The sequence below is a fragment of the Homo sapiens genome, chromosome 15 (genome assembly GCF_000001405.40).
Source record: "Homo sapiens chromosome 15, GRCh38.p14 Primary Assembly".
Taxonomy (NCBI): Eukaryota; Metazoa; Chordata; class Mammalia; order Primates; family Hominidae; genus Homo; species Homo sapiens.
Window position 1 is genome coordinate 96,128,847 of NC_000015.10, and position 9,131 is coordinate 96,137,977.

The 9,131-nt window shown below is 39.9% G+C and overlaps 2 long non-coding RNA genes across 2 annotated transcripts in view, besides 1 other annotated feature; one reads left to right on the top strand and one right to left on the bottom strand.

The window, feature by feature from the left end:
• Positions 1 to 9,131, top strand: part of LOC112268156 (uncharacterized) — a 236,909-nt gene that overhangs the window by 138,412 nt on the left and 89,366 nt on the right. The window lies entirely within an intron of this gene.
• The window catches only part of NR2F2-AS1 (NR2F2 antisense RNA 1), a 200,002-nt gene that overhangs the window by 1,487 nt on the left and 189,384 nt on the right, over positions 1 to 9,131 (bottom strand). The window contains exon 4 of the long non-coding RNA NR_125738.1: positions 2,976 to 3,216. This is a non-coding gene — a long non-coding RNA (NR2F2 antisense RNA 1). The remainder of the gene's footprint in view (positions 1 to 2,975; positions 3,217 to 9,131) is intronic.
• Positions 6,006 to 7,205: an enhancer, noted in NCBI's record as "BRD4-independent group 4 enhancer chr15:96678081-96679280 (GRCh37/hg19 assembly coordinates)". NCBI's record gives its function as "activates an origin of replication core promoter dependent on BRD2, P300/CBP, MED14 and CDK7 cofactors, and independent of BRD4, by STARR-seq in HCT116 cells {active_cell/tissue: HCT116}" and the evidence as "EXISTENCE:reporter gene assay evidence [ECO:0000049][PMID:35650434]".

Below are 9,131 nucleotides of genomic sequence, written 5' to 3' on the forward strand. Positions count from 1 at the left end.
ACAGCTCTGATTTCCTCCCACTCCAATTCTTTTCAACTTATTAAAAAATAGATTTTATGCATAATAAAAACTTTAAAAAATAAATATTAAAAGAGGGAATTTAAGAGTAAGAGTTAGAAACCTGGTTGAGATGAATGACAAATTCTGCCAATAGTTACCATCACTTAAGTTTTAAAAATGGGGAAGACTCCTTCCATTAATATAACTAGCAATGACCACAACGATTCCTTCCTCTTAAGCTTTGGAGTAAAACAACTCTGTATTTAAACTTATATCAAATCACATAAATTCTCCATCTGGAGCCCGATTCTGATAATATGTCCTTTGGGATCCATCTCCCTCTCTGTTTTTACTTGATGTGAATTTATAAATGTATAATGCAATCTTCTGGCTCTTTTGGTGCAGAGAATTTCCATTATAGGGCAAAAGTCATCAGTGTCTTTAAACACTCACACCCACACTCCTAAACAGACAGGAGCATTTTGTCCCATAAGAAACATTTATACAAAATGTAGCATGACCTTAGGACAAAGGAGGCTGACTGTGAAGACTTGAAACCAATAAAGTGAGAGCTGACACTTCGATGATATTTATGATGTGTCAGACATTGTTCCAAGCACCTTACATGTATTAACACATGTAATCTTCTCAAGATTCTTAGAGATAGTAATTGGTATTATCCCTACTTAATGGTAGACAAAATCAGGGCAAAAAGAGGTTACATGACTTTCCTGGTAGCACATACTGGTAAGTAACGGAGCTGGAATTCAAACCCTGCATTCTGGCTCTAAAATTTGTATCACTACACCAGCTCCCCAAATGCATGAGCTGGGATCATCCAACTGCAGCCCAGCAGAAGAGGTGTGCTTCGTTTGCTTAATTGTCTCCCAAAACTACCTCAACCTATGTTTTTGTGGGATCCAGAAACACTCATATCAGAAGGATAATAAATGCAAGCCAGTATACTATAGGTTAGGAAGACAATAAAGATAAATGGGTTTGCTACCAACAAGCTCAGAGTATAAAGAGAAAGACACCACAGTGTATTTTAATAATATAAAGGTTGGGAATATTTAAACTGCCCTTTCAAAAGATACTTTCAGTTACCCCTAAAATAAAACAAACATGTTTTCTCATTTTTTATATTTCTTATTTACATTAATGTTAGATAGCCAATGATAATCAAAGTAAGCACTAAAAAGAAAGTCTACTATGCTGTTGTCTAGACCTTCAAAACCAGAATCTGCCTTTCAGATAATTATCCAGTCCCAGTAATGTGTGGAGAATGGTGGAAATTCTTTAAATATTACCATTTGCATACAAGAATTTATCAATTTTGCATTAAAATTCTGCTTCTAAAACAGTTATTACCTCCACAAACCATAGAATAGATTTTTCTGAGATATATGAGTGAAATACCCATCATATGATATGGGCATTTTGTAAAAGTGATAATGTGAGTGAAATGCATGATGCTCAATCCATGGTTTGAACCCAAGTCTATCTTCATCAGATCTACTTGTCCAGTGTCTTCAAAAGTCACAAAGAAGAACTACCCTGCTTAGCTTTCTATCTCCTACTGACAGCCTGCTAACCAGTTCTCTTTCTCATGCCTTAGGCCCTGACAACGAAGTCTCATCTAATGTGGGGGTTAGAGTTTATATTAAAGGTACATGCAATGTACAGATCTAGATCCTGTACTAGAAATACATGCACAGTGTTACAAAAGTATTAACTGCTGGCTACTTGGAAATGGGCTAAAGACGAGTTTTAGCACGTCTTCATTGAGGAGAGAACATTTGCATTTTGAGAAATACATAAATTCTCCTATAAGGCAGGATAGGTAGAAAATCATAATCCAGACAGTAGTATCAGAACGTGCAAATGCATGGAAACTTGAAAGAACATGGGATGTTTGGGGAACCACAGACAACTCCTCATGCCTACAATAGGTTAATCCTTAAAGTACTTTTCCAAAACTTGGAGGGTTTTTTTGAGGTAGCAACTTTTGAAGCTGTAAAGGAAGGTAGTTGCAAGGTCAGCCAGGGTCTCAGGCATTAGACCAAGAACCATGAAGCTGATTTTGCAAGTAACCTCGATTGAAAGTTCAAACAGGAAGAGAGCATCATATTTGTGCTTTAGAGAGTTCCCATGGTCAGCAACAGGATGTGTACATTGCACAGTTAGGAAGCAACTGGAATTGTCCAGGTAAAAGATTAGAGTGTAAACTGAGAAAGTGCAGCTGAGAAAATTGAAAGGTAACAAATACTATTTAAATCAAGTAGAATTTTACATTTCCCTTATGAAGCATTACCAAAAATATTTAATATGAATCTCTCTTAAATAGAGTACTTCCTGATTTGAGTTATATCTCAAATTATTCCTTTAAGCAGTAAATGCAATTGAAAATTTTTGGAAGTTTCAAAAAAGTCTAATAAAATCTCACAATAAGTTTATCCATTTACTAGATGAAAAAATATATACACTCTGGATGTGAATTTGTACATTATAAAACCAACCAAATGGAGAACAGAAAAGAAAAATGGAACCAAGCAGCTGACTTGTATAAACAATATCATACAAGACCCTATAGCTGAATCAAACGCAATTATACAAAAGCCAGGAGGGGCTGGGCATGGTGGCTCACACCCGTAATCCCAGCACTTTGGGAGGCCGAGGTGGGTGGATCACCTGAGATCAGGAGTTCAAGACCAGCCTGGCCAACATGGTGAAACCCCCATCTCTACTAAAAATAAAAATTAGCTGGGAGTGGTAGCACATGCCTGTAATCCCAGCTACTCAGGAGGCTGAGACTGGAGAATCGCTTGAACTTGGGAGACAGAGGTTGCAGTGAGCCGAGATCACGCCACTGCACTCCAGCCTGGGTGACAGAGCAAGACTCCGTCTCAAAAAACAAACAAACAAACAAAAAACAAAAAAAAAACCTCAATTTTCTTCAGATATTGGGTACTTACGTCCTTCAAGGGAGGCTGGGTCCCACGTTCTTATGGTGAATTCATCACAGAAAGTCTCCTGATTTTTGGAGCCACCACCAATGAAGTTCTCACCAAAGGACAAGAAGGCAAGGACAATCAAGGCCCTCTGGGCAAAGCCTTTATGATTTCTGCCCTTGTTATGCTTTTAAGCAGCCAAATATAGTGGTCATGCTTGGAGCTGCAGAAGCTCTGTAGCAGCTTGGGAAAACAAGACCATCACCTTGAGAATAACAGAGCAGAAAAAAAAGTCTTCAATTTTTGATTATGCCATTGAACTGCTGAAGAAGCCACACTCAGAGATACTTACCGTCCTACCTCCAAACTTTATTATATTAGATAATAAAAGTCCTAATCATTTAAACCAGCTGAATTAACATTTCTATTGGCTGCCAAACACATCCTGATCAACATCTTATATACAGTTAGACACAGGTTTTGGTCAAAAGTGGTTTCACTTCTACTTGGTTTATCTTCCTGATTTGATCACCTCTTGCTAAGGAAACCCTTGACAGCACAGTGTTGGATATCCAGTGACCATTAGATAAATGAGTTTTTCTCAGAACTTTTTATAATTTATAGGAAAACTGTATTTTAAGTTACATTTCAGATTGTTTACTATTGGACAAAACAGAAAAGTGCATCCATTGTAACTAGTCCTGTATGACTGGGGAAGAAAAAATAAATTATTCCAACTCACCTGTTGGACTTCTCTAGGAGCAAGTAAGGTGAGATGGTTAGGATCCATTTCCATTTTTATACATATTCTTGCCATTTTCTACAACATGCTATCTATAGGTGCTGGTACTGTTTTGCAGGTTTGATAGAACAAAATTATGAATTCCATTATGCAGAACCTCCGATTGAGATCAAGAACAGTGGAATGAACATATCACGAAGCTAGAGAATAGTATTCTTTAGAGCCAAAACTTTTCCCACTGGACCATATTGTCTAAAAGAATGAGACGTGGAGGTGCTTTTCTATACTATTACAGACGTTATTAGGGCTGCCACGTGCTTTTCTTAAAGTAACACCACTGTTTATGCTTCAAGGTGGATTTAGGTCTTCCATCTTTTTTAACATTTTTTTTTTGCAACTCTCATATGTTCTTATTGAGCAAAGATTCAGATTAAAGATAGATTCAGTATTATCTTATTGTAAAAATATTAGATTCTCTATCAAATTATCCATGCCACATATGTAGAAAAAAAGAAAAAAATCAGAGCCCATGTAAATGCAAGCATGAGAATACACACTGCGCCCTCCCTGCACAGGATCACGGAGTCAGTAAGAAGTCAAGAGAGGGAAGGCACTCCAGGTAAAGGATTACATGTGGCACAGTGAAGAACAATTCTCTCAAAATAGGAACAACCCTATCTTGAACTAAATTGACAAAATGGGAATGGATTGGAAAGAATTTTTCTTCATTCTCAAAATAGTTATCCAACTACAAGAAAGCAATTGGGCCTCAGAAACAAATGGATCCACGAATACTCATGAGACCCTCTTTCCAGGCCTCACCTTTGCAACTGTCTTCGTGCCTAGTGGTTTTTGTTTCTGTATTTGTTTTTTGTTTTTCTGTTTTTTTGTTTTTTGAGATGCTGTTTTGCTCTTGTTGCCCAGGCTGGAGTGCAATGGCACAATCTCGGCTAACTGCAACCTCCGCCTCCCAGGTTCAAAGGATTCTCCTGCCTCAGCCTCCCAAGTAGCTGGGATTACAGGTGCATGCCACCACACCAGGCTAATTTTTGTATTTTTAGTGGAGACGGGGTTTCGCCATGTTAGTCAGGATGGTCTGGATCTCCTTCCTTCCTGTTATCACAGAGAATGTCGGTTCTTTGACCTATTATCCTACTGGGCTGTTATTACGGACCCAAAGACATTAACATTACTGTCTCTGCTAAACCTGCTCTCACTATTTGAACAATATAGAGAGCACTGGCTTAAGTTTTCACATTGAAAACACTCTTCATCTTCCCCTATACCCTCCAAACCATCACCAGCAATTTCTCAAATTGGAATGAAATAGCAAACAGACTGGCTTTTTTTTTTTTTTCAATATATAAATCTTGCCACTCCCTGTTCCAAGGGAACTTTTTCTCAGAAGGCAGAAGGGCCCACAGACAGCTTGGGTTTTAAATAAAAATTTTATTTCACCACACTACAATGGAAACAAGTAAAATAAGCTTCTTTACTGTTTCATAAAATGTAATTCCATTTTAGCTTATTTTAATCTCAACTTTCTTTTGTTTCTATAGAAACAAAGAAATCAAATCCCAGCATTTAGTGTTCACACAAGTGAATTTTCAATTTATAAAATGGTCTTTGTTTTAGTGTCTAGCAAATTCAAAAGTGCTATTAAAACCAAGTTATTATCATAAAATCTATAAGAAAAAAGTACCTCCACCCCCCAAACACGACAAACACCAAAGAAAATTAAACTATGTATTATAATGTTCCTGAAACTATTAATGCCATGAAGTAACAAAGTCTTGTAAGCTGACGCTTCTCTTAGGCAACTTGGTTTTATAAATTATATTTTTTAAGTGCTAGTTCCTTCTTTAATAATTTTACTTACCTGATTTGTTACTTCTCACAGTCTCTTAAAATGAAAGGGAAATTGCACTTGTGCCCATTACAATGGAAAAAATCTTTAGTTAAAAGTCCAGGAAAATGTTTTGAGAGATGGTAATGCCAGTAGACGATTTCGCATAAACAAATAGAGAAATCCAGGCCAGGCGCAGTGGCTCACACCTATAATCCCAACACTCTGGGAGGCCTAGGTGGGAGGATCACCTGAAGTCAGGAGTTCGAGACCAGCCTGAGCAACATGGAGAAACCCCATCTCTACTAAAAATACAAAATTAGCCAGGCGTGCTGATGCATGCCTGTAATCCCAGCTACTCAGAAGGCTGAGGCAGGAGAATCATTTGAACCCAAGAGGTGGAGCCAAGGTCGCGCCATTGCACTCCAGCCTGGGCAAAAAGTGCGAAACTCTGTCTCAAAAAAAAAAAACAAAAAAAAAACCCAGTATTTTTGAGTGTGCATTACATTTAATATGCTGTGGTGGGGAGAGTAGAATGTATCAAAATGACTTAAATTAGAATCCGAGTCTTGTCTTTCTTAAGGTAGAAGACTTCTGGTAAATTAAGGGACCTCCATTTGCCTCAGTCTCTTCATCTATAAAACTGTGGCAAAATTTATCTTATAAAGTTACTGCACAGAAAAAGCAAGTTAGTAATAATAGTAGCCACTGCTTCTTGGGCACTTTACAAACATGATCTCTCATAGCCCTCGGGACAACCCTATGTAAGAGGTACAGCTGGTTCTTGAATAACTAATTCATTCAGTTTTCTTTACAATATTGATGGGGAAAAAAAATCTATCCCCAGCTGGGGATAAACCCACAATCTGCATGGGTTTTCTCCAGCTATCTCCTAAAGATGTGCATGTCAGGTTTACCGACGTATCCACACGGTCCCAGTATGTCTGGAACTGGTTCCTTCCGGTGGGTTCTTGGTCTCGCTGACGTCAGGAATGAAGCCGCAGACCCCCGCAGTGAGTGTTAACAGTTCTTAAAGATGGCGTGTCCCGAGTTCCTTCAGATGTTCAGATGTGTCCGGAGTTTCTTCCTTCTGGTGGGTTCGTGGTCTTGCTGACTTCAAGAGTGAAGCCACAGACCTTCGCAGTGAGTGTTACAGCTCTTAAAGGTGGCGCGGTCGGAGTTCGTTCCTCCCGCAGGATTCGTGGTCTCGCTGACTTCTGGAGTGAAGCCGCAGACCTTCGCGGTGAGTGTTACAGCTCTTAAAGGTGGCGCGGTCTGAGTTGCCCGTTCCTCCTGGTGGGTTAACGGTCTCACTGGCTTCAGGAGTGAAGCTGTAGACCTTCCCGGTGAGTGTGACAGCTCATAAACGTAGTACTAACCCAAAAAGTGAGGAGCAGCAAGATTTACTGCCAAGAGAGAAAGACCAAAGCGTGGAAACGGACCCAAAGCAAGTTGCTGCTGCTAGCCGGGGTGTCCACCTTTTATTTCCTTATTTGGCCCCGCCCACATCCTGCTGAGTTGTCCATTTTACAGAGCGCTGATTTGTCCATTTTACAGAGTGCTGATTGGTCCATTTTTACTGAGGGCTGACTGGTGTCTTTACAAACCTTTAGCTAGACACAGAGCGCTGATTGGTGCGTTTTTACAGAGTGCTAATTGGTGCTGTTTACAAACCTTTAGCTAGACACAGAGTGCTGATTGGTGTGTTTACAATCCTTTAGCTAGACCGAAAAGCTCTCCAAGTCCCCACCCGACCCAGAAGCCCAGCCGGCTTCACCTCTCACCAGTGTGAGGGAGTGTAAGCGTGGGTGGGTATAGGTGCCCCCTGCAATGGGATGACATCCTGCCCAGGGCTGGTTCCAACCTTATGTCCCGAGCTGCTGGGATGGGCTCTGATCACTCCTAACCCTGAATTGGAAAAAGCGTTTAAATAATGAGCTTATTTGTGTTTATTAATCTTTCTTAAATATATGTGTAATTGCATTTATTTCAATGTTTAATATTAGAAGTGTTTTAGGGTTTTTTGTTTTTTGTTGTTTTGTTTTTGAGATGGAGTCTCGCTCTGTCACCCAGGCTGGAGTGCAATGGCACAATCTCGGCTCACTGCAACCTCCGCCTCCTGGGTTCAAGTGATTCTCCTGCCTTAGCCTCCTGAGTAGCTGGGACTACAGGCGCACGCTGCCACACCTGGCTAATTTTTTTTTTTTTTTTTTTTTTTTTTTTTGTATTTTAGTAGAGACAGGGTTTCACCGTGTTGCCTAGGCTGGTCTTCGACTACTGAGCTTGGGCAATCTGCTCACCGCGGCCTCCCAAAGTGCTGGAATTACAGGTGTGAGCCCCCACGCCTGGCCGTGTTTTAGTTTTTATTTAGAAGTTTGATGTTTTTGTGACCAGAAGTACTTCCTAGGCCCTTAACTCTTGAGTATGTGAATTAGCCCATGGTAAGATTTTTTTTTTATGCATCATTTTGCTTAAATTCACGATTTCCAAGAACCTATGGGTGACATTGAGGACTTACTGTAATAATATCCCAATTTTTGTGGCAAGAAAATGAAGATTCAGAGGGATTAAATAACTTGTTGAAGCATTAAGTGGCAGAACTGGAATTCAAACCCAAGCCTCTGATTCTAAATCCTAACCTGTGAACTTCCATTCCCTATGTACTATATCAAGTTCATTTATGTTAGTTCATTGTTTCCCATTTTTGAAAAGCAGTGGTGCTCGAAGTGTGGTTGCCATACTGGGGCGGCAGCAGCATCACCTGGGGATTTATTAGAAATGCCAGTTCTCGTGCCCCACCCCAGATGTATTGAATTAGAAACACCAGGGATGGAGTCCAGCAATCTGTTTTAATGAACCCTCAGATGATTGTGATATGTGCTAATGTTTGAGAACCACTCCATAAAGATTATGAATGAAGATATGATTTGGGTAGCTAAAAATCAATATAAGAACAGAAAGACACAAGGAACCATAATACAAGTAAAATTCTGATTAATGCAATAAAAGAGATCAATAAAGTACAAAGAGGAAATAATGGAGGGAAAGATTAATTCAGAGTGGTCACTCTGGGAATTTGAGCAGGGCTTGAAAGAACGGGTAGGACAAGCAAAAATGAGGGTAAAGTGGTGGGCAGGGGGAGGTGAAGAGTGTCATGAAGGTAGCTCTATTGTGCTGGAGTGCAGGAGGATTGAGAGATGTGAGGGATATCAGACTGAGGACGTGAACTGGAGCCAAGCGGAGGGGGAGAATGTATTCTGTGCACAATTGGGAAGGTTTTAACAATGTTTCCAGAGAGGATAACAGGTTTTAACAATGTTTCCAGAGAGAGAATAACAGGACAATAGCTATGCTTTGGAAAGAGAAATCTGATGGCAGCCTGGAGAATGGCATGGGAGGGGAGAGAGTGATGGCAGGCAGTTAGGCTCAAAGCCTGGAGCACCCTCCCCGGCCAGAGTGTGTGCTGAGCCCCTTAGTGAAATTGACCTCACACGGTATATGAGTCTGAGAATTAGCCATGTAGAATGTATACATATAAAAAATACCTATAAATAATCTCTTCATCTTCTACTACATGGTCCTTTTTAGTTTT